At 51.9% G+C, this 25221-nt stretch overlaps 1 protein-coding gene across 21 annotated transcripts in view, besides 1 other annotated feature; it reads right to left on the bottom strand.

Moving 5' to 3' along the window:
- The window catches only part of KAZN (kazrin, periplakin interacting protein), a 1225220-nt gene that overhangs the window by 101769 nt on the left and 1098230 nt on the right, over positions 1 to 25221 (bottom strand). The gene's annotated exons all lie outside the window — the stretch shown is intronic.
- Positions 19888 to 20182: a silencer, noted in NCBI's record as "tiled region #10909; K562 Repressive DNase unmatched - State 5:Enh". NCBI's record gives its function as "represses a minimal TATA promoter and a strong SV40 promoter by Sharpr-MPRA in K562 cells {active_cell/tissue: K562}" and the evidence as "EXISTENCE:reporter gene assay evidence [ECO:0000049][PMID:27701403]".

The raw sequence follows: 25221 nt of genomic DNA, 5'->3' as shown, positions 1-25221 counted from the left end.
TTCAGAGGCCAGAAGCTCGAAATCAAGGTGTGGCAGAGCCACATCCCCTTCAAAGTCTCCTCCAGCTTCCAGTTTCGCCACAGTCCCTGGCGTCCGTCGGCCTGTAGATGTGTCACCCTGACCTCAGCCTCTGTCTTCTCATCACCTTCTCCCCTCAGTGCTCCTCTCTTCTCTTCTCTTCCAAGTACACTTGTCCCAGAATGATCTCATCTCGAGATCTTCACCTTAACACCATCGGCCAAGAATCTGTTTGCAAATGAGGCCATGTGCACAGGTTCCGGGTGGAGGTATCTACCCAGGGACCACTGTTCAACCCAGCAGAGCAGGGACGGGGTTAAGTGGGGGCGCCCTGCCCTCCGATCACAGTGTCTGCCTTGCGGAGACTGGATTGGGGACTTGGGGACAGGTGGAGACAGGTAGGCCGGTCAGGGTTTTGCTGCTGCTCAGGAAGCAAGACAGTGGCTTGGAGTGGGATAGCAGCAGCAAAGACGAGGCAATGGGTCCAAGGGGGACTGTGCCCACCAGAAGGGATGGTGGTCACCAGGAAACCCTTAAAATATAGAAGGACCTGTGGAGCAGACCCAGAAAGGGGTGACCAGCCTGACTCAGGTCCTAGACCTGCCCATGCTGACGGTTTGTCCTTAGAAGGTCCCACTGGAGGAGGGAGGGAAGCCCCAGATCCCTGCAGCTCAACCGTGCCAGCTGCCACAGAGGGCCACCTCAGGACCACTCTTCACCCGAGAGACAGCTCCAGCCGCACAGAGCATCGGGCAACTGGCCGTGAGCTTTGTTTTTAAACCATGTTTAAAAACATCAGTTTTTATGGCCGGGCCCGGTGGCTCACGCCTATAATCCCAACACTTTGGGAGGCTGAGGCGGGAGGATCACGAGGTCAGGAGATCAAGACCAGCCTGGCCAACATGGCGAAATCCCGTCTCTACTAAAAATACAAAAATTAGCTGGGTGTGGTGGCGGGCGCCTGTAATCCCAGCTACCCAGGAGGCTGAAGCAGAAGAATTGCTTGAACCTGGGAGGCAGAGGTTGCAGTGAGCCGAGATCGCGCCACTGCACTCCAGCCTGGCAACAGAGTGAGACTCCGTCTCAAATAAATAAATAAATAAATAAATAAATAAATAAATAAAAAGAAAAAACTTCAGTTTTTAAAGTTCTTATAAACTTGAAAAAAGCAGTCTTTAGTTCATACTATGTGTCAGAAGTGTTCTAAAACTTTATATATTATTAATCCTCTGAAGAAGGTGCTATAATTATTAACTACTATGATTCCCATTTTATAGAAGGGACAATTGAGGCACAGAGAGGGGAAGTCATGCAGCCAAGGTCCCACAGTAGAGAAGCGCCAGCCTCCAGAGGCTTATTTCTCATGACCCGAGAAAACAACTGGGCCAGTGCCAGGCAGGGTGAGGGCACGGAAGGCGGGACAGGTGGCCTCAGCCCCACACGCTGACTGCCTGACCATCCCTTTAGAATTGCAGATGGCCTCAGCCCCACAAGCTGACTGTCTGACCATCCCTTTAGAATTGCCTGCAGCTTTCAGCTAACTGCCCTTCCTTAGCTCTAAGCAAGAGGTATGTGCCAAGATTCTTCCCGGGAGGAAGGCTTTCTGGACAGTGACAGATGGCAGAGTTCCATGGGTGCCAGCAAATGCTCTCCCACACAAGAAGCCCGGAGCAGGGTTTTAGGGCGCTTTTCCAACGTGCTGGAAATGCCGTGCCACGAGAGGCTCATCCAGCAGAGCTTGAAGGGTTAATCTGGGGACCACTAGGTCTGGAGAGGGTCTGACACTGAAGAAGGTGACAGAATTATACAAAAAACCAACAGGAGCAGCAATGATAACCATACCCAGCCTCCGCCGTGGAGCACTGTGGTTGAGAAAACATTTGCCCATCTTAGAAGCACCCTGCAAGGTGGGCAGGGTGGGAACCTATGGGCTCCCTTCATAGATGCAGAAACTGAGGCTCAGAAAGTAAAAGTCACTTCCTCACAAATGAATCAGAGGTCTAAATCACAGATTTCTGATTCTTAGACAAACTCTCCCTGCCTCCCAGAATCCTGCAGGTGTGGATGGCTCTGGGGGTACCTGGGTAGAGGTGGCCTGAAGGATTCGAGACTCATTCAGAAGGACCAAGGGCAGAATTTCAGCCCTTTTCTTGGACCAGAGAGCAAACTCGGTTCTTAGTTTCTGCTCAGCCTAAGACAAAACCCTCCTCCGGAATGAGCTCCAGTTCTGTGAGGCTCTCGGCCATGGGTTCACTTAAGCATCCTTCCTGAGTAAATGGAGAGACAGGCAAGCAAAGAATTTCCGAACTGCAGAGCAACGATTTCTCTAGCATGCCACGGGGCCTTTGCACTTCCCATCCACTCTGCCTGAAATGCCCCTGCCCCACCTCACCCCAATCCCATGCACGTGGCTCACTCTCCTGCCTCCTTCAGCTCCTCAGTCACCTGATCAGCTTTTTGGAGTAGCTGTACTGTTCTCCCATCTCTCTCTTTTTTTTTTTTTGAGATGGAGTCTTGCTCTTTCGCCCAGGTTGGAGTGCAATGGTGCGATCTCAGCTCATTCAACCTCCGCCTCCCAGGCTCAAGCGATTCTCCCGCCTCAGCCTCTGAGTAGCTGGAACTACAGGCGCCCACCACCAAGCCCAGCTAATTTTTATATTTTTTTAATAGAGACGGGGTTTCACCTTGTTGGCCAGGCTGGTCATGAACTCCTAACCTCAAGTGATCCGCCCACTTTGGCCTCCCAAAGCGCTTGGATTACAGGCATGAGCCACCGTGCCTGGCCCGGTTCCACCATCTCTAAAACTGTCACATTGCCAGATCCCTCAGTGCTATTTTCCTTCCATACTTAATTTTTTTCTTATGCTCTTTTTTCATCTGACATCATCTGTTTTGCATTTACCTGTTTACTGTCTAGCTTCCCCCTCCCCCACTCGAATATAAACGAAACGGGGGTGAGTAGTTTGCCTCCTATTTTGTTTCCTGCTATTCCCACAGTGCTAAAATGAGGGTCTGGCATACAGAAGGTGCTCAATAAATATTTGCGGAAGCACTGAAAGTGACCACAGTGGAGGCGTGTACAGGTGCAGAGGCCAGAAGGCAGAGGAGTCTACAGGAGGGAGGCCTTATTGCAAATCCATGGACACCTGTGGAAACCTGGCGTGTCTGGGGAGCCACACTCAATTCAGCATTGCCTGAGCTTAGCTAAACTGAAGGTCAGGAAGAACTGTTCCCAGCTGGGAACCTGGCTGAGCCTCTGGGTACACGCTGGGACCACGCCTGGTGCCTTGGGTTGGGAGGGAGTGAGCTTGACGCTTCCCATTCTTTTCTTTTTTTTGAGACAGTCTCTTTCTGTTGCCGAGGCCGGAGTTAAGTGGTGTGATTTCAACTCACTGCAACCTCTGCCTCCCCAGTTCAAGTGATTCTCATACCTCTGCCTCCTGAGTAGCTGGGACTACAGGTGTGCACCACCACGCCCGGCTAATTTTTGTATTTTTAGTAGAGACAGGGTTTTGCCATGTTGGACAGGTTGGTCTCAAACTCCTGGCCTCAAGTGATCCACCCGCCTCAGCCTCCTAAAGTGCTGGGATTACAGGCGTGAGCAACCACGCCGGGCCATGATCCCATTATTTTCTGTGCAGAGGTTTTCAAGAGGATCTATGTTCTGTGTGTGTCTTCTTATCTCCTTGATTCCTATGCTGTGCCCTGCATTGAGGGCCTGGAAGAAACTGGGGTTGTCTAGCTTTAGGGCAAAAAGCCAGGGAGACTTTTTCTGCCTCCAGGTGTGGGGCGTTGCATCAACCCAGCGGTGAGGTACCAACTGTTCTCCAACCCCCCATCCTTACTCACCATGGGAGATTTGGGCTTAACTGGGTCTTTTAGGTATAACTTTTCTAACACTGAGGTCTGGAGCCTGTGGATTGGCCCCAGAGGTCCCCATGGGAGGCAGCGGAAGTTTCTTCTGGGAGGCCTTTCTCTACCAGCAGGAAACTGGAGCAGGTGGTAAGAATAGCTTTCTGTACCTGGCCACCTAGGTTCAAGTCCTGGGGTGTGAGTAGAGTGTTCTCTACTCACTAGCTGGGTGACTTTGGGAGAGTGTCTTAATTTCTCTGGGCCTCTGTTTCCTCATTTGTAAAACGAGGAATGGTAGCAGCTCCTACTTCACAGGCTACTCCACATGCAAGGGACCTGCAAGAGTGCCCATGGTGTTAGCTGCCATTATTACTAGCAGCAGCTAAGAACAGATGCAGCCTGAGGCTGGGGGGTGTACAGAAAGGCTCTTCCAAGTTCCAGCAGCCCTGAAGGTGCTGGGAGGAGCAAACTCATTCACACAGAGGAGGGGGCTTGGAGGCTCTGGACTGGCCGCGTCCACCACCCGCCTTCCCACTCCTCCTTCCTCTTTTTGGTCCTAAAGATGCTAAGTGGTGCCCCGCCCCCAACCCTGAGTGCGCAGTGTTGGCTACATGAGGACACAAGATTCCCTGCTCTCGAGGGATTTATGGCAAGGTCAGAAAGAAGGGTCTAAATACAAATGGAAGAGAGTAAGGTCTATGCTTTTGTTCATTCTCTCATTCATCCGGGCAAACTTTATCACCGGCTTTAAGTTTGGTGACTTGGCACCCTGCTAGCACAGAAACAAAAACACTTCAAGTCTTTAGCAGTAATCAATGCAATAAGTAGGTAACACAGGCCATGAGAATATGAGTATTTGGGGTTGGGGGAGGGGGAGTCAGAGAGAGAGCATGAGCTGGCTGGATCCCTGGAAAGTCCTCTGGGAAGAGGGCCTCTCCCAAATTTCTGAGAAATGGGCAGAAGTGCAAACAACCACCTCTCAAGGCTGCACGTTCTGGTGACTGGCATCCTGTGCCTTCGGAGCTGGGATCTTGCCAGACCCCTGAGCATTTTGGAAGCAAAAGAGGGGACAGCTTATTCAATCCAGCCAGGAGCCCTGGGATTTAGAGATAACAAGAGCATATGATCACTTTACCTCTGCCCTTGCTTTTGGGTGCAGCACCTGGGCTCTTACCCTAACTGGCTACATAAGCAGGGTAGGTCCCAGCCTCTGGGGCTCAGTCTTCTCATTAGCAAAGTAGGAATCAAACTCCGATCTGCCTCCAAAGACTGAGCCAGTGGGTGTACTCTGTTTATTAACACGTTAATATCTACATTTTCTTAACACCCTTGGCTATCTTGGTGAACACATCATTTGGGTTATCTGACTTTTCTAAATAGTTGAGCCTATTTAAGCATGAAACTCAATAAATGTATTGCTTGAACCATTTCCTGATGATGGAAGCTTTTAAAATGGAGTAATGAAAGTGGAGGCAGTAACTCATTATTCTGACTGGTAAATAAAGGGAGAAATGTTAATTACCCAGCTTTCGTTTTTGAATTCTACCAGTGGGTAAGCAAACAGTAGATGATGGAGGGGTCTGTTTATGGAAGGGTTCTAGCTACTCCATGAAAAAGGAGTGAGAGAAGAGAACACTGCCACTCTGCTACTTCTGCTGAATGTCTGGATTCAGGTGTCACAGGTCCTGGGCTGCCAATATCACAAAAGCAAGACGGGCCGGGAGTGGTGGCTCACGCCTGTAATCCAGCACTTTGGGAGGCCAAGGTGGGTGATCACGAGGTCAGGCGATTGAGACCATCCTGGCTAACATGGTGAAACCCCGTCTCTACTAAAAAATACAAAAAAATTAGCTGGGCATGGTGGCGGGCGCCTGTAGTCCCAGCTACTGGGGAGGCTGAGGCAGGAGAATGGCGGGAACCTGGGAGGCGGAGCTTGCAGTGAACCGAGATTGCGCCACTGCACTCCAGCCTGAGCAGCAGAGCGAGACTCCGTCTCAAAAAAAAAAAAAAAAAAAAAAGCAAGACAACCAGATGGCACGTGCCCCTGGAGAGGAGGACCCAACATCTCCTTTGAAGGAGTCTTTCAAAAAAATCAGTAAAGAAATGAGTCTGAATCTGATCAAGCCTTTAGATGAACTATCAATTTACAGGAAATTCAAAGGACAGAGGAACATGTTAAGGACACCATGGGGATGCAATTAGCAAACTCCAGACCCTGGAAAACCTACCAGACAAACAACATGTTTCCTTCAACAAATAATTAGCAAGGATAATAAAAAAAGAAAGGAAGAAGAGCTTCTAGATTTAAAAAGACTTAAAAAGATATTAAAACTAATCACACTGTGTGGATATTTGGATCCTGATTCCAACAAGGTACAGAATTTATGAGTCAATAGGAAATTTGAGTAATAACAGTATCTGATCATTTTTTCAAGTGAGATGATAGTTTGGAGGTTATGTTTCTTAAAAAGAGTCCTTATCTTTTATAGATACATATTACAATATTTGTAGATGACATGATGCATCTTGGATTTGCTTCAAAATATTATGGGGAGGAACGAGCGGAGGGTGAGACAGAATTGGCCATGGGTTGATGAATGTTTGGGGTCAGGTAATAGGTAAATGGGATTAATTTCATTATTCTATTCACTTCTGTATGTAACAAAAATGTTCCATAATAAAAAATGCCACCAAGGCTAGCAGAAGACATTTTATGCCTCTGCCCAGTGGTCCAAATGGTGGAGCTTGAGTCTTGGCCAAGTTCTGTAGCCTTGTCCTCGCTCTCTTCCTTTGCTATGGAGCTGACAGCTGTCCCGTCTGCATGGGTGCTCAAAGCAGCCTCTCCCAACACATCTCTCAACTGCTGTGGGCTTAGCAAGAGGACTGGGCTCATTGCAGCTGTGGAAGCACGTTTCCCCAGCCTGAGCAAGGGGTGCCATGTGTGCAAAGGTGCTTGGCGTTGTGACTCTGGGTCTGCCTGTTCCCAGGCAACCCTCCTGGCCTTCCTGGTGCTCAGCGTGCTCTGGGAGCTGGGATGGCGCTTACCTGAGTTCTCCATAAGCACACTGTCACATGGCGCCCTCCCTCTCTTCTGTCGGGATTCTGGGTGCGGGAGGGGAATGTGACTGCTGCTTCTGTGAACAGGCACAGTCTCCTCAAGGCACATTATCCCAGGCTCTAACCCTGGGCGTGCTTTAAAAATCTTCCTGTCTTTGCAGGACGTGCCCAGGATGCCACCTGGGGAGTCAGTGCCCGGGCAGTAGGCTGCCCGAATTTCCTGGTGCCCTTGGGCCCCCTGGGTAGGGCTAGCTAAGGCTGGAGGGAAGGGGGCTGCTGGCTCACCCCAGCGGGCGGGCTCGTGTGCAAAACTGCCAACTCAGCACACGGGCTTTATTTACTTCTGCAAGAGAGAAAAGTATGTGACCTCTTAAGGAAACCAAAGTGAAGAATTTCCTGCCTGATTGTCCAGGGGGGAATAACAGGAACTGAGCTACTTACAGCCCAAACAAACAGCACTAAGTGATGAGGATGCAGGAGAGGCCTTGAGGACTGTGGCTGGCAGGGGAATGGGACCTCAGCCTTGCCGCTCCTCTTATGACTTTGCCGCCTCTGCCCAGGGCTCCTGGGCCCACAGGGACCATTGAGAAACCTGGGCTGACTCTCAGGATAGTAACAGTGCCTTACACAGACCTTGAACTTGGAAGGCAGACGGGACAAGCTAGAAAGAGCCTTAGACTTAGAGCCAGATACCAGGGCTAGAAGCCCTGTGGCACCTGTGCAGGTCACATAACCTCTGGCCTTTGAACCTGCCTGTTCCAGAGGGGTTTAAAGGGTCACATGAAATGACCTCTGCGAAGAGCTCTGCAAACAGTGAAGTGCTCTGGAAACCCGGCAGGGCATTCCCGGTCCTCATCATAGCTGTCTCACTCACCTCACACAACCTACTGAGTACCAGTGTTCCCATCTGATGAATGAGAAAGTAAGGCTCAGAGGGGTTAAATGACTTGCCTTGGTCAGCCTGCCAGTGAGCAGCAAGGCCGACTACTCTCAGGCTCGCCTGAGACCTGCAGAGTCCAGCAGGATCCACTGTAACACCTGCCACTTCTGGCCACTCATCCACTTGGGAAAACTCTTTCCTCCACGACTCTGGCAGCCTGGGCTTCAGACTTACAGCCGAGGCCTGGACTCCGAGGTGGTGCCGTCTGGATGGGTGAGGTGTGGCCCAAGCGCTGGGCTCATGGAGATAAGCTTCGGGCTGAGCTTCCAGGGGGAGCAGCTACCCACTTCCGCAGGCCACGAGTTCAAGACAAACAAGGCCTCCAGGAGCCTCAGCAGGCCTCAAGGCCAAAACAGTTATTTCATTTAAAAGGGAAGGAAGAAGGAGGTGATTTTTCTGCTCCAGAACTTGGCAAGAGACTCCGCAGCTGACCAGTCCCACTCGCAGGGGCCGCCTCTGTGCCAAGGCTGGGTGACGGCACGGCTCCCTTCCTGTGCTGATGGGGGCTCAAGGCTTTTGCACATGGGAGATGCTATGAACTGATAACTCTATCAGGAAAAAACTCCTTATGCAAATCAAAGCCGAGAAGTGAAATGGGCGGTGGCATTCAGGTTTGTTAGCAAGCAGGCATATGCTGGAAATGAGGAGTGCGCTGTTCCCAGTCTCCTCCGCTGTGGAGATACCCACTTTGCCGGGCCTGCTAATCATCTGTTATGGAGGCGGGCAGGTGAGCTACCTGCCCGGCAGAGCAGAAACCAGGAAGGGAAGGAAGGGGAGGGCTCCCACTACCCAACGGGTCGGCTGGCCAAGCCCACCTTGCGTCCCACCAGAGCTCGGCCCGAGCCTCCCACCTGGGACCTCCTCCTGCTCCCTGGGTCCAGATGTGGCCAGCCTGGGAAACAGAGAGGCCTGAGAGAGCCCTGGGCTCAAATCACACCCTCCACACCTCCCAGCCTAGTGCAGTGTGCCAAACTGGGGACCGTAATGTCTGCACCTCAAAGGTAGTGGCAACATTACATTCCTAGCTCATGAAAAACCCTCGCCAGATTTGGAGTGCCCGTTCTGGGTTCCAATCCTGCCTCTGCAGCTCACTGGTGATAAATGGGGTTAATCATACCCATAATATTCCAGCCCCTCACCTAGTGCTCTGGTTCCCGAGGACTGCCCAGCCTCCCAACATGCTGACTCTCAGAGTTGTTGCCAAAGGTTACATGAGTGTCTGTCCAGTTCCCAGCAGGGGCTTGGCCCCTTGAAGGTACTGAGTAAATACAGCTGTGATTGGTATTATGAGTATCATCAATCAATCCTTCCCTGGAATTTTCTGTTTTTCTTTTTTTTTTTTTTTTTTTTTGAGACGGAGTCTTGCTCTGTCACCCAGGCTGGAGTGCAGTGGCGCGATCTCAGCTCACTGCAAGCTCCGCCTCCCAGGTTCACACTATTCTCCTGCCTCAGCCTCCCGAGTAGCTGGGACTACAGGTGCCCGCCACCATGCCCGGCTAGTTTTTTTGTATTTTTAGTAGAGACGGGGTTTCACCATGTTAGCCAGGATGGTCTCGATCTTCTGACCTCGTGATCCGCCTGCCTCGGCCTCCCAAAGTGCTGGGATTACAGGCGTGAGCCACCGCGCCCAGCCCCTTCCCTGGAACTTTCTAAAATGGCAATCCTTGGCGCATCCCACCCTTCTTCCTGGCTTTATTTTTCTCCTTAGCACTTAGCACCAACTACCAGATCATACATTTTACTTATTTCTCTGGTTTATTATCTGTTTTGTCAACTGCTGTATCCCTGGCACCTAGGACAGTGTCTGGAACATAGTAGGTATTCAGTAAATATGTGCGGCATGAATGAGTGATTGATCACCTGCTTCCGCTCTGACACGTGGGCCTCAGCCCTGTGGATGGGATAAAATATGATGACGGGAAAGATAGGAGAAAGACCCTGCCTTTTCCCGGCTCGCTGTCAGGAGGGACCAGCCCGGCCCGGGCTTTTCTTGCTCCCATCCAGTCCAATCCAATTAGAACTTCACAAGCTGCTGCTGCATGCAAGGTAGCTGCTAGGTGACCACCAAACCTCTGCAGGTAGGAGAGGGCTCCTCTCTTCCCTAAGCCTAGCAAAGATTTAGCTCAAACCTCCCCTGGCCCAGAGGCCTGGGTCATCTACCTCTAGTCTTACTCCTGGCCATGAGAATCCTCCTTTGCTTCAACAAGATACTGGATGCAAAAGTGTTTTGTAAATGCTAAAGGGCTTGGCCTTTGGTTTTTATGTTTGCTGGTGCCCCTGGGCTGGCCAGTGAGTGGGTTTGGCAGAATACCCCAGAACCCCAGGTCTCATGGGGGTGGGAACTGTCTCTGACACAGCTCACAGTCCCAGGGTTCAAGGCTCAGATCCAGCTGAGTTCTGATCTTCAAGTTTCCAGCCATCCTAAGAGCTGCCTGCACATCTGCCCAGGGCCCAGTGTCGCGGTAAGGCACACGGGAAACAAAACTGTTAAGTGCCACTGCGGCCCGCTGAGATGTCTGTCCCATCACAAAGGAAACAATACAGGAGGCAGTGGTTTCCTTGCTGCTGAGATGCCAACACTAATGCCCTTTAGGTTAAAACAATTTTTTTTTTTTTGGAGACGGAGTTGTATCGCTCTGCCATGCAGGCTGGAGTGCAGTGGCACGATCTCACCTCCCTGCCACCTCTGCTTCCCAGGTTCAAGCGATCTTCCTGCCTCAGCCTCCCAAGTAGCTCAGATTATAAGCGTGTGCCACTATGTCTAGTTATTTTTAAAATATTTTTAGTAGAGATGGGGTTTTGCCACATTGGCCAGGCTGGTTTCGCATCCCTGACCTCAAGCGATCCACCTGCCTCAGCCTCCCAAAGTGCTGGGATGATAGGTGTGAGCCACCGCACCCGGCCCCCTTTAGGTTAAAATTTAAACTCAGAAAAACAAAACAAAACAAAACAGGAAGGGGTGGGCACAATTCTGGCTAACCTGGAGCCCAGGGAAAATGGGACAGAGTTGGCAGGGTCAGTCTCGGGGAGGTGTGGAGCAGGGTGCACACAGCATCGACAGATGGCACCTGCCCGGTGACTGCCTTGCAAACACTGGCACGTGGTCTGTAATGAGTCAGACTGGACTCCTAGGGGCTGGGTCCATGCCCAGCAAACTGCAAAGGCAGAATCTGTGGAATGGATTAAAAACATGTTTTTTTTTCCAAATAAAACCAGGGATGATTTTAAGCAATCAAAGTGTCCCTGTAAAATACGTGGCAGGTCTCTGTGCCTGAGACCCTCATGTGTTTTGGGATGAAGTTCGGCCATGGCACCCCTCATTCCCAGCCTGGGCTTGGTTTGCATATTATCCTCCCCAATGGATATGAGGCTGTGAGGTCTCAAAATAGCAACCTGGGCGTATTTACCTCTGTATCACCAGCTCAAAAGAATAATCACCTTTAATAATGGCAATCATAAAAAGTCGATTCTCAGGTGCCTGGTTCATGCCCAGCAACGAGTGTGCTTGAAGTGCCAAGATTCAATTAATCCTCACAATCATGCCAGGTGGTGGGTACTATTATTATACCCACTTTACAGATTAGGAACTGAGGCATGATATCTATTAATAAGTGACTTGCTCACCTGGTCAATGAGCGCTTAAGGCAGGATTTGAACCCCCCATTTAATGCTAGGGGTGGAGCAAGATCCGATAAAAAAGGGCAAGGCCAGAAGCACCTCTGACCCCAGACTTGGTTTCACCAGAGGCTGACTTCAGTGAGACACCATCTCATCTCCTTGAAGACGGCAAACAAAATGACCAAACTCCGGCTACATGCCTGGCCCTGTGCCAGGGGATTTACACACATCATCTCATTTGATTCTCAAAACACCCTGAAGAAGTCAACTCTATTGTCCCCAGTTCACAGGTGAGGCAACTCAGGTTCTGAGAGGTAAGGTCACTTGTCCAAGATGGTAACAGCTAGAAAGTAGCAAAGCTGAGAGCCATGCCCACAGACTCTGGAGTATTCTTTCTCCAGATTCTTTCACTCTGCAATGATATTTGCACAGTACCAGCCTCTTCTGCACAGCGGGCGTCCTCAGCTCTGGAAGCTGGCTGGGATAAGATGCACCAATAATCTAGGGGCCACCTAGGAAGGAAGAACACTGCCAACTAACTGTGACAGGGGAGTGCAATGGTTTCAGACCTGCTAAAATGCAAAAAGTGCACATTTTAGAGTTTATGAAATACAGGACGTTCTCATCCAGACAGCACCATGAGGTTGGCCAGTCTGATGTTATCCTCCTCACCCTGATAGTGCACGAGGCTCCAGGTATGTTCACCTCACTTTGTCTTTGACCTAGGTATGCCCAGCACCTTCCACGGTGCCAAGAACAGAAGACAATCAGAGGAAATGTCCTTTAAAGCCTGGAGAAGGAAGGTGCAAAGGAGGACCGGTTTTATGCTTCCCCCAGCAGAGGCCAGGACCTATGCAGCCTGCAGCCCCTGGAGCTGAACAGGTGTGTGTATGTGGGCAGGGGACACTGTGAGTGACACCTGGGGACAGAGGCTGAACCCAGGTCTCCACCTAAGAGAGGGGTACAGCAGGCAGGGACATTTTACGGCACACCTGGGGAAGAGTATCCAACTGCAGGGAGTGGGGGTAAGAGGTTTCATGGTGATCCTGAGCTGAGAGACAAGGAATGGGTAAGCTGATGACCCGAAGGCAATGCCCGTCCCCCACCCCTTTTCCCAAGCTCCCTTTCATGCTAGAACGTGAACATAAAGAACACTGCCTGAAAAACAGTCACAGGGGTGCTATCCCATGGGAGGGGGCCCTCACTTGGCCAAACCCAGTGGGCAAAATAGATTTTTCTTTTTGTTCTGTTGGTTGACCTCTGCTTTATTTTTAAAAAACAGCTTTACTGAGATATCACTGGTATGGGATAACCTGCCTGTAATTTGAAATGCACAATGAGCTAAGCTTTGACGTATGTAGACACCCTGACACCATCACCACAATCAAGATAATGAATCTATTCATGGCCCCCAAAGGGATGAGTGGATTTTGACCCACACCCCTGAACACAAGTTACCAGAGCCGCTGCCAACTGGAGCAATAGAGATGAAAACAGCTAACCGGCACCCACTGCCTACCGGATCCACGCCCTGTGTTTTGCAATTTACATGCATTATCCCACCTGGAAAGCTCTAGCGGGGGTGCTCACCTCCACGACATTATTCCCAAGGCAGAAGGTTGTGAGGCTAACGAGTGCCACGTAACCCAAGTCCAAATCCCAGCTCTGCCCCGTCCCAGCCGTGGGGCCTTTGGTGCCTTCGTTTACCTGTCTGTGCCCTTCTGTCGCCTGAGGATAAAAGAACACCCTCAATTTTGTGTGTGTGTGTGTGTGTGTGTGTGTGTACGTTTATTTTTATTTTTATTTTATTTTTTGAGACGGACTCTTGCTGTGTCGCCCAGGCTGGAGTGCAGTGGCGCCATCTCGGCTCGCTGTAACCTCCACCTCCTGAGTTCAAGTGATTCTCCTGTCTTAGCCTCCTGAGTAGCTGGGATTACAGGCGCCCACCACCATACCAGGCTAATTTTTCTATTTTCAGTAGAGACGGGGTTTCACCATTTTAGGTAGGCTGGTCTCGAACTCCTGACCTCAAGTGATCTGCCTGCCTTGGCCTCCCAAAGTGCTGGGATTACAGGTGTGAGCTACCACGCCCAGCCGTGTGTGTGTTTTTTTGGTGAGGAATAAAAGATTTAATATTCATCTAGAAGACTCAGGACAGTACTTGGCAAGATGATGACAATGATGATGGCGATGACGCTGATTTTTCTGAATGAGGAAACTTAGGTTCCGGGAAACTAAGTGACCCACCCAAGGTCATTCAGAGAGTCACTGGCCAAGCTAGGCTTAGAACTCGGGCAGTCTGATTCCAAGTTGGTATTGCTAACCACAATGCTGTCCTCTCTATGGCACGAAAAACTCAGGGTGCAACGCAGCTATGTGCCCTCACCTCTGGGGCTGCAGACCCATTGACTCTTGGCCCAGTCAAGGAGTCAACAGCGTCAGCAGGCTGTACCCCCAGATTTCTCTCTGTAAACTCAACCAATTGCTCCTGTTCTGATTCCCCTTTGACATTCTGTGCCCTCCACAGGGAGTATCAGTGAATTTTGGCTGGGGCCAGCCTCGGCTGGGAGAAAGAACAGGACTGTGACCGTCGAATACATAAGATTTTGCGGCCAGGCACGGTGGCTCACGCCTGTAATCCCAGCACTTTGGGAGGACGAGGCGGGTGGATCACAAGGTCAGGAGATCGAGACCATCCTGGCTAACACGGTGAAACCCCGTCTCTACTAAAAATACAAAAAATTAGCCAGGTGTGGTGGCGGGCGCCTGTAGTCCCAGCTACTCGGGAGGCTGAGGCAGGAGAATGGCGTGAACCCAGGAGGCGGAGCTTGCAGTGAGCCGAGATCGTGCCACTGCCCTCCAGCCTGGGCGACAGAGCGAGACTCCACCTAAAAAAAAAAAAAAAAAAAAAAAAAAAAAGATTTTGACTTTGTGGGGCCAAGAGGGACATCGCCAGAAGAATCCACCTCTCACCTTAAGTCACCCACCCGTGGAACAGACAGTGATCCTCACGAACCTTCTGAACAATGATTAACATTTTGGGAACACACTGCCTCTGGGTGAGGTCGACCCCACAGGCGAGGAGCACTCCAGCAGTTGAAGGAGGCACGTGTTCAAGCTCAGGGTGGAGAGAATTTGGCCCAGCTGACAAAACAAGGGTGGCTTCATTCATGGGGCAGTGCCCTGTGCCAGGCTCTGTGGAAAGTGCTCTGTGTGCACTGCTCACAGTCCAGGGAGTAGGGGCTGCTGCTCTTCCCTTTTAAGGATGAGGAAACTAAGGCCTGGAGGCACCAGCAACATTGCAAAACTTTTTTTTTTTTTTTTGAGACAGATTTTCGCTCGGTCGCCCAGGTTGAAGTGTAGTGGTGCAATCTGGGCTCACTGCAACCTCCGCCTCCTGGGTTCAAGTGATTCTCGTGCCTCAGCACCTGGCATTACAGATGTGAGTCACCACACCCAGTTAATTTTTTTTTTTTTTTTTTGTATTTTTAGTAGAGATGGGGTTTCGCCCTGTTGGCCAGGCTGGTCTTAAACTCCTGACTTCAAGTGATCCACCCGCGTCAGCCTCCCAAAGTGCTGGGATTACAGGCGTGAACCACCACGCCCAGGCATGTTGCAGAACTTTACCTGCAATGCACCACCACCTTTGCTGGGTTTGGGGAAGCTGGGATTTTTATTTATTTTTTAGAGGCAAGGTCTCCATCTGTCACCCAGGCTGGAGCGCAGTGGCACCACCATGGCTCACTGCAGTCTCGAACTCCTGGGCTCAAGCGACTCTCCTGCCTCAGCCTCCTAAGTAGCTGGGATCACAGGTAGACACTACCACACCTGGATAATGTTTAAATTTTTTTAGAGATAGGGTCTTGCTATGTTGCCCAGTCTGGTCTTGAACTTTTGGGCTCAAGTGATTCTCCCGCCTTGGCCTCCCAAAGCGTTGGGATTACAGGCGTGAGCCACTGCACCCGGCCAAAGCTGGAATTTGAATCCAGGTTGCCTAATGTTGATCCAAACGTACAAGCACTGTGCCAGGCACACCCCCTCTTTCCCTGCCTTTTTCAGCAGAGAAACAAACAATATACACGGCTGAGTAATTTTGTGCTTATTCCATGCCAGGGGCTGGGCTAGGTCCTTCCCATCCTCAAAAATTCTTCCCAACAGTTCTAGGAGGAATGAACCTTGCTTTCCAGAGGGGTTACTGGAGGTTCAGAGGGGTACAGTGGCCGGGCAGCATTTGGCTACAGGTTGGAGTGGCTCTCTCACGACACCCTCTGTACCCCCCGAGGTGCCTCCTCAGCCCTACTTTGAATGAGGTGCTCCAAGGAGGGACGGGGGCTCTGGGTTGTGCATTAGAATCCTATTGTTGCTGTAACAAATTACCACCAACTTTGTGGCTTAAAACAACACTGATGTATTATTTTATAGTTTTAAGGATCAGAAGTCCAAATTAGGTTTCACTGGGCCAAAATCAGGGTGTTGGCAGGGCCAGGCTCCCACCGGAGGCTATAGGGGAGAATTTGTTTCCTTGCCTTTCCCAGCCTTTAGAGGCCGCCTGCATCCCATGGCTGCTGGCCCTGTCCTCTAGCCTGAAAGTCAGCAACAGGGCACCTTCAGATCTCTCTGACTCTGACCTTTTTCCAGTCTCACATCTCCTTCCCTCTCTCTGATCTGCCAACCTTCCTCTATAAGTACCCCACGATTACCCAGGGCCCACCCAGACAATCCAGATCATCTTCCCATCTCAAGATCCTCCGTCACAGCTGCAAAGTCCCTCTTGCCATATAATATATCCACAGGTTCCAGGGATTATATCATGGACATCTTGGGGGGCGGGCATTATTTAGCTTACCACAGGCTGACACTGTTGTGCCCACCCCACCAGCCCCTGCCCTGGGGTCAAGACCAGCAGGCGGGAAGAAGTCAAGCCGGACAGGGCAGACTGAGGGTGTCCTGCATTCAACTGGAGCAAAGATGTGGAGGTGGGGAGGCCCAGGGCAGAGTGCCCACTCCCTCTGGGTCCAGGCCTGGCCTGAGTTGGGGTTACATCCACAGGCGCATTCCTCGAAGAGCAGAATTACTTTTAAGTTCTAAAAATTCCACCCAGTTGCTAAACAAATGCCGGGGTTCTTGTGAAATAAAGCAACAACATGAAAGCCCTGGCAAGGGGTGCCCGGAGATTCTGATCTGCAAGTGGATCGGGGCAGCTCCCTCCGAGGTAGCAGCCAAAGCCATTTCCGAAGGCCTCATGGAACTCAAGGCCAAGGTCAAGGTCTGGATGGCGGGGCGGGGGGAGGGGGGCAGGCAATGCCTGGGGCTGAACGCACTGGGTAGGAGGAAGCAAGGGAGAAAAGGAATGAAGGAGCATTGTGAGCACCTTGGAGGCAGGGCCTCCCATGCTCTCCTGGCTTTATCCTCCAGAAAGCCCTGCAAAGGAAGCATTAGCATGGCCATCATCCCATGGGAAAGTGAAGGCTCGGGGAGGTGAAATCACTGGGCTAAAGTCACACGCAGTAAGACCTGGGATTCCAACCAATCCACCTGACTCCAAGACCAGTGTCCTTTCTACTTCACCACCCAAACTGCAACCAGGCTCAACACATGAATTTAGAGACAAGGTCTCCATCTGTCACCCAGGCTGGAGCACAGTGGCACCACCATGGCTCACTGCAGTCTCGAACTCCTGGGCTCAAGCGATTCTCCTGCCTCGGCCTCCTAAGTAGCTGGGATCACAGGTGGACACTACCACACCTGGATAATGTTTAAATTTAAATTAATGTTTAAATTAATGACAAATACCTGGTGACTGTTGTTCCCAGTCAGACTGCAAGGTGGCTGGCAGTGCATGTCCTTGAGCCTGACAGCCTGTGTCTGAATCCAGGCTCTACCAAGCTGGGGAATCTTCACCTCTCCATGCCTCAGTTTTTCCAGTCTAAAGTGGAGTTGGGCTGGGTGCGGTGGCCCACGCCTGTAATCCCAGCACTGTGGGAGGTCGAGGTGGGCAGGTCACCCTGAGGTCAGGAGTTCGAGACCAGCCTGAACAACATGGCGAAACCCCGTCTCTACTAAAAATACAAAAATTAGCCTGGTGTGGTGGTGCACGCCTGTAATCCCAGCTACTCGGGAGGTTGAGGCAGGAGAATGGCTTGAACACGGGAGGCAGAGGTTGCCGTGAGCTGAGATGGCACCACTGCACTCCAGCCTGGGCAGCAGAGTGAGATTCCATCTCAAAAAATAAAAAAATAAAAAATAAATGAAGTGGAGTCAATAAAAGCACCTCCATCATAGGGTATTATGAGGGTGAATGAGTTAATTCAGGTAGAGTGTTTGGGCTGCAACAGTGCTGCACCCAGAGGAACCCTCAAGGTCTAACCCCCAAAGTCCCCCCGCCACATACACACAGCCTCTCCTCTCTGCCTCAGGTGGGCTTTCTCTGGCTGTCTTCTGAGAGCAACATCCTTACCTATATTTGAGTTGATGCAGACAGAAGACGCAGAGAAGGCCCAGGCTCCCATATTGCAGCGGATTCCCAAACCTTCACACAGGCTAATCTTTGGAGCATCTTTTAGCCACAAAACCATGAAAACCATCAGGGAATCAGTGAAGTAACAGCAGGGGAGCACCCCCCGCGCTGCCCCTCCCCCCCGCCGTCTGTGCCAGCTGAGGAGCTTCTGGGGCAGTTCCCATCCACTGGAGAGTGTCCGAGGCCTGCCCTGCTCCTGGGCACAGACCCACAGTTCGACTTCCTGCCTGCCTCATGACAAAACCAAACACGATTAAAACCAGGCTCAATAACGACAGTGACTCGTTGAGTGCTTAGCCTGTCTGGGTGGTCTGTCCCAAGTTCCTCACATACATGAGTTGGAAAGTTCTACATCCATTTCACAGATGGAAGCTGGAGCTGAGAGAGGTTAAGCAACTTGCCCAAAGCCACACAGCAACTAAGTAGCGGAGCTGAGGTGGGATCTGATCATGCCCACCTGATGCTGTTGCTCTGTGAGGCCCCAGTGGACCCCAGGTGCCCAGGTCCTGATCAGCCATGAGGCTCTGAACCCTGCTGCCAACTCCCAGCCCAGCCCCTGCTCCTCCACCCTCAGGGGGCTGTCCACTTCCCCACACAGGCTTTCCGCATGGATTTACTGAGAATCCACGTTGTTCTGGGTGTGTGAGGCTGCTGGGGATACATCAGACACCGTCTCCCTGCTCTCCTGGAGCCGACAGCCAATAAACAGGAACTCAAGTAAAGAAAACAGAAAGGCCAGGTGCGGTGGCTCACACCTGTAATCCCAGCACTTTGGGAGGCCGAGGCAGGTGGATCACCTGAGGTCGGGAGTGCGAGACCAGCCTGACCAACAGGGAGAAACCCTGACTCTACCAAAAATACAAAATGAGCTGGGTGTGGTGACGCATGCCTGTAATCCCAGCTACTCGGGAGGCTGAGGCAGGAGAATCGCTCGAACCCGGGAGGTGGAGGTTTTGGTGAGCTGAGATCGCGCCATTGCACTCCAGCCTGGGCAACAAGAGTGAAACTTTGTCTCAAAATAAATAAATAAATAAATAAATAAATAAATAAATAAATAAATAAATAAATGAAAGAAAGAAAGAAAAGAAAACAGAGTCTGTGAAATGCATGAAGGAACTGAGACTCGCTGGAGGGGAGGGGATGCAGGGCAGATCTTGTGAGGGAAAATTCAGGAAGGACCTCTCCGAGCAGGTGACATTTCAGCTAAGGCTGGGAAGGATGAGGAGAAGTCAGGAACTCCAGGCATCAGGGAATGCTGGGGAAAAAAAGCACTCCAGGCCCAGGGATCAGCAAAGCACAGGGTGCCTGGGGGAACACACAGCCTCAGAGCATTTGAGGAACAGAAAAGGCAACGTGACTAAGCTTCCTGGGGCGGTGAGGTCAGGCAGGGAGGTGGGTGCGAGGTCATGGGGCCGCAGGCAAACGGCCCTCCCTCCCAGTGCCCCACATGCAGGCCCTGGAGCACCAGGAGCGGGGAGGCTCCGTGGTGTGTCTTCCTGCAAGTGGCCTGCCTTTGGGAGCATCAGCCCTTTCTCCTGGGGACTGGGAGAGGCCGGCAGTGAGGGAAGAATGGCCCTCGGTCGTGCGTAGAGAATGTAGGGGACACAGGGCCTCTCACAGACCCAGATCCTGATCTTGTCAGATCTGCACGCCCGTGGGAGGGTGCTGGCGGCAGAAACGCGTTGCCATAAGCCTTCTCCCCACTGCAGGCAGGTGTGGTCAGGGGACCTCCTTGGAGAACAAGGTGGGGGAATTTGGCAGCTTTCTCAGCATGGCGTCCATCCCCCCTACATTCCTGGGGCACCCACTGTAGGCCAGGCCCTGTGCCGGGTCTGATGATACAGTGATGACTAAGTCACAGTCCCTGCCTCTGAGGCCCCCATGATGTGCCGGGACAGCCAAGCAACCCAATATGTTAAAATCCAGTGTCAGGACCCAGGGAGAAGGGACTGAGGGAACAGAAGGGAAGGTGTGAGTCATCCTGCTTGCTGGTCTGGGTGGACAGAGACACACGGGAACAAGAAAGAGAAAGGCCGACCCAGTGACCCCTGTTCAAGATGCCAGGCACTGGGGGTGGAGTGGGCGGGGCATGAAGAGCCAAGACCCAGAAGGCCCAGTGAGTTCTGCGGTGAGAAAATAGCCTGGAAACTGACATGCACACTCGCGTCTGCTGTGCAGGGTATGGACCCTCTCCAGAGGCAGAAGGGGCTGGGGGCTACAGAGGGCCGCGGGCTGAGGATGGCATTAGGTGTCTTATAGGGCAGCCGCCCTTGGGTCCAGCTGACTGTTGACCCAGGTGGCCGGACCGGCTTATTTTCCAGGACAAGTTGGAAATCCACACTGTAAAAGTTTCCAACTTTTAAATGGTGGTAACAAATTTGAAAATGTTTAAAGCCCCAAGCAGACTCAAGAAAATCTCTCTGTCGGTCACCAGTTTTAGAGCCTAGAATAAATGAAGGTAAATATAAATCAGGCGAGGCACCCAAAGGCACCTGGGCTGGGCAGGAGAGAGCTTCCCGAAAGGGGCATTTTGGAAGAGTCCAGAGAAGAGCAAGTTGAGGAGCAGAGACAAACAAAAGCTCCCACTGAGCCCCTGCAGATGCTGGAATCCACAAGCTGTTACCAGTCTATTTTTTTTTTTTTTTATTTGAGGTGGAGTCTCACTCTGTCGCCCAGGCTGGAGTGCAGTGGCGCAATCTGGGCTCACTGCAACCTCTGCCTCCAGGGTTTCAAACGATTCTCCTGCCTCAGCCTCCTGAGTAGCTGGGATTACAGGTGCCCACCACCATGCCTGGCTAATTTTTGTATTTTTGGTAGAGACGGGGTTTTACCACGTTGACCAGGCTGGTCTTGAACTCCTCACCTCAGGTGATCCACCGTGCCCAGCCTGTTACCAGTCTCTTTATGATAGCAAAGGGAAGGGGAGAAGCACAACCCAGGAAGATTGTCCCTGGAGCGCCTGGTCTAAGAGAACCGGGATGTGGAGCAGCAGATGCCAGGCCAGGCTTGGCAGGGAACTCCATGAAAAGTCACGTGAGTTCACAGGTGGAACAGGATGGCCAGGGCCCAGCACTGGCATCACAGCAGGTATGTAACTGAGGGCACTGCCCAGAGCTCAGGCCTCGTTTTAAAGACATACACTCTGTCTCTTCCAGCTCCCCTCTTCCTCCAGGGCAGCTGCCCTTCCCGAGGGGCCAGCCAACCTTCCCAGCGTGAAATGCACAAGGACCATGTCCCTACTGACTCAGCCTCCTCCTGCCAGTCAAGAACTGCCCCGCTGCTAAGCACTACATCAGTGGTGGCCTTGGTGGCCCACGGCCTACTCCATGCTGTGTCTGAGGCATGGCAGAGTGGGCAAGAAGAAAGTGAGGGTGTCACTTCAGGGCTGGGGGGCTACTTCTCTCCAGAGGAACTGGCTGAAGTGACATCAGTCAATCCTCATGTTCCTCTTATAAGGCAGGTTTGATTATCCCCACTTTGCCGATGAATACACGGAGTCTCAGAGGGGCTGAGTCCCTGGCAAAAGGACCTGTAAATGCTACACACCAAAGTCAGGATTTGAACCAGACAGCATATTCTCCACTCCCCACGTGGCACTGCCTCTAAGACGCTGAGAGGAAGCCCAAGAACAACAGATAAGTGATGGTCCACAGCCCAAGAGGAAGGAAAAGAGAAAAAGCAAAACCAAAAAGACTGTGCAGCCAAATTGTCCAAAGTACAAAGGTGACTATTCCCGGGGTGACCCGGAGTCACTGAGAAATGCTCAACTGTGTTCCTCTCAGCCTGGATGGGAAGATGGGTACACAAACCTCTAGGAAAGCCTGCTGTCTCAGATGGCAAAACAGAAACACAATGGCACTGGCACCTACAACGGGGCCTTAGTAGATACCTGTTGAAGGCAGTGGTACAATGTATGGCGCAATGAGGGGCAAACTGCAGCTGTCAGCAAATGTCATGTGTGGGAACCTCCCCCAAGAGTCCAGGCTGAGGGAGGTGGTCTTGCATGCAGTGGTACAAGTGTGCCCGGAGGTGCCAGAGCTGAGAAGTCCCCAAGGGCCACGGCCTGCAGCCAATCTTTCCTTGGTGCCTCCTCCATTCTCCCCATGGCCCGACCCAATTCACAGGCCCTGCTGCCAGGGGCTCCCCTTCTGAGGATGGCTTGCAGAGGGGACCTGCTTCCATGGCCTGGGGGCCCAGGGATCAAAGCAGAGGACTATGAGATGCCCACTGTCGCCCCAGCAGGAAAGGCGACCATGCCTAAGAGCTCTACGTCGCACCTGGGAGGACGCATTAAACCACAAACACACCCAGAAGTCCCCGTAATCTCCCTTCCACAAGCCTGCATGGAGTGCCTGTCCTGTTCCCTGCCCACCCAAAGAAACCCTCCTCATCCTTCAAGCCCAGCTCCAATGCCACACACATCCGGGTCATTACGGCTCAAAGTTCTCTCTTCTGCCTCTGACCTTGGGAGATAATTACTTACGTGTGGGCTTGTGACCCCTCTCTCATAAGACTCAACGAACACATCAAGAGCACCCAGGATGGGCGAAGTCCTGGGCTCAGAAGTGCCCAGTTCTTTTCCTTCTCTCTCAGGGTGAAGCCTCCAGGGTCAGCGCGATCACCCCCCTCCCAGACGAGAGTCGAGGCAGCAGGGGGGTGGCGGCGGGGAGTGGGGGAGAGTGCAGGCCGAGAACACTGCTTGTTAGGGCTGGGACCAGGTCTGCAGACTCTTGGTAGAATTCTTTCCGCTAGGGGCAGACGCCACCTGAACTGATGATGATGATGATGATTATTTTTTTTTTTGAGATGGAGTTTTGCTCTTGTTGCCCAGGCTGGAGTGCAATGGCGTGATCTTGGCTCACTGCAACCTCCATCTCCCAGGTTCAAGTGATTCTCCTGCCTCAGCCTCCTCAGTAGCTGGGATTACAGGCTCCTGCCACCACGCCCGGCTAATTTTTTGTATTTTTGGTAGAGACAGTGTTTCGCCATGTTGGTCAGGCTGGTCTCGAACTCCCGACCTCAGGTGATCCACCCACCTTGGCCTCCCAGAGTGCTGGGATTACAGGCGTGAGCCACCGCGCCTGGCCTGATTTTTTTTTTTTTTTAATTGCTTATGTAACCTTTGCTGGGTATACAAAGGCTCCCAGACTGGGCGCGATGGCTCACATCTGTAATCCCAGCACTTTGGGAGGTCGAGGTGGGCAAATTGCTTGAGGCTAGGAGTTTGAGACCAGCCAGGCCAACATGGTGAAATCCTGTCTCTATTAGAAAAAAAAAAATTGTGGTAAAAAAATATACCTATCATAAAATTTACCATCTTAACCATTTTGGCTGGGTGCAGTGGCTCATTCCTGTAATCCCAGCACTTTGGGAGGCTGAGGCGAGTGGATCGCTTGAGTCCAGGAGTTCGAGACCAGTCTGGCCAACATGATGAAACCCCATCTCTACTAAAAATACAAAAATTATCTGGGCGTGTTGGTGGGCGCCTATAATCCCAGCTACTTGGGAGGCTGAGGCAGGAGAATCGCTCGAACCCGGGACATGGAGGTTGCAGTGAGACGAGATTGCGCTGCTGCACTCCAGCCTGGGCGATAGGGCTAAACTTCTCAACAAAACAAAATAAAACAAAAAAACAATAAAGGCTCCCAGATAGGTACCTGGGCATTCTACTCTTGAGGTGCCAAGGGCTGTTCCTAAGACCAATTGTTTTTCAGTCCAAAGAGATGAGCTCACAGCGGTGGCCAACAGCCCTGGAGGAGGGGCCACTGGGCTTTGCATCTCTGAAGGCTGCTCTTTCAATTTGGACCCCAGGTCCTCATCGAATAATGGCCAGGACTGGTTCCTATTTGTCTCTGCAACTTTCCTCCTCACCCTTGGCCCGGGCTGGCACGGTGCTCACACGGGGTGAGGGACCTGACCCTGGATGCTCCCTGGGCATTAGAGGTGTGTCTGCCCTCCACTGCAGGAGAACCTAATTCCTGGAGTGCTCCCATCTTGTGTCCTTCCTTCAAGACTCCTCCCCTGCTTCTCCCTGAGGAGGTCACATGTTGCAGATGCTCCTCACACACTCACGGGTAGGGACATGTGTGATTCTGGAGAAAAGAACCTCCTACGTGCTCGGCCTTCTGCTGGGGCCCCGGTAATGGACAAGCCACTCATGGTGCCTGCCCATGTGCAGGGCACTCACTGTCATGCTGGGCAGAGCCATCAGTGACCCAGGACCAACAGAATGAGGTTAAAAGCCACAGACACCAGGCAAAGAGAGGTGTATTCTGGAGGCCACAGTGATGGTGACAACCCCACCCCACAGTCCATCAGAGAAAGCACCGAGGGATATCCAGGCAAAAGGAAGCTGCTGCGTTTGATTCACAGATACTCCTCAGTCGAAGGGCTAGAACCTCTCATGTTCTGTCTCTCTCCAGAAGTCAGGGGTTTAGAGCATCAGTGGATCCTGGGAAGAGCTAAGACTAAGACACGTGGGACCAGGCTCTGGCGGTCCAGGGCGGAATCTGCTGCAGGGCTGACTCTAGGGATGGCTCACCACAGCATCAATCCCTGTGCTCCAATCCCCCTGGGGCCAGCCTGGCCTCTCCAGCCTTGGGCTCAGGTGTACCTGGGTATGTGTGGCCATGCACATGGTCCCCCAAATAAAAGGACATGGGACCTGAAGATCATCCAAAAGAAGCAGCTAGAAGGTTCTGAGGGTGAGGCCATCCCAGGCATCTAGAGTGAGACTTCCTGCACCCACATTCCTCGGGCTCCTAGGAAGGACACGGAAGAGGCTAACAGCAGAGGATATTATTCTGACAGGGCCACTGTGACAAAGTCCTGTATGCTGGGTGGCTTGTAGCTCTGGAGGACAGGAGTCCAAGATCAAGGTGCCTCATGTTGGGTGAGTTTTGGTTTCTTCTTCTTTTTTTTGACACAGAGTCTCTTTGTCACCAGGCTGGAGTGCAGTGGTGCGATCTAGGCTCACTGCAACCCCCGCCTCTCGGGTTCAAGCGATTCTCCTGCTTCAGCCTCCCCGAGTATCTGGGATTACAGGCGCCCACCACCACGCCCGGATAATTTTTTGTATTTTTATTAGAGATGGGGTTTCGCCATTTTGGCCAGGCTGGTCTCGAACTCCTGACCTCAGGTGATCCGCCCGCCTCAGCCTCCCAAAGTGCTAGGATTACAGGCACGAGCCTCTGCGCCCGGCCAAGGGTTGGTTCTTTCT

This window comes from Homo sapiens, chromosome 1 (genome assembly GCF_000001405.40).
Source record: "Homo sapiens chromosome 1, GRCh38.p14 Primary Assembly".
NCBI classification, from domain to species: Eukaryota; Metazoa; Chordata; class Mammalia; order Primates; family Hominidae; genus Homo; species Homo sapiens.
The sequence above is the reverse complement of the archived record's forward strand: the minus strand, read 5'-3'. Positions and strand labels throughout refer to the sequence as shown.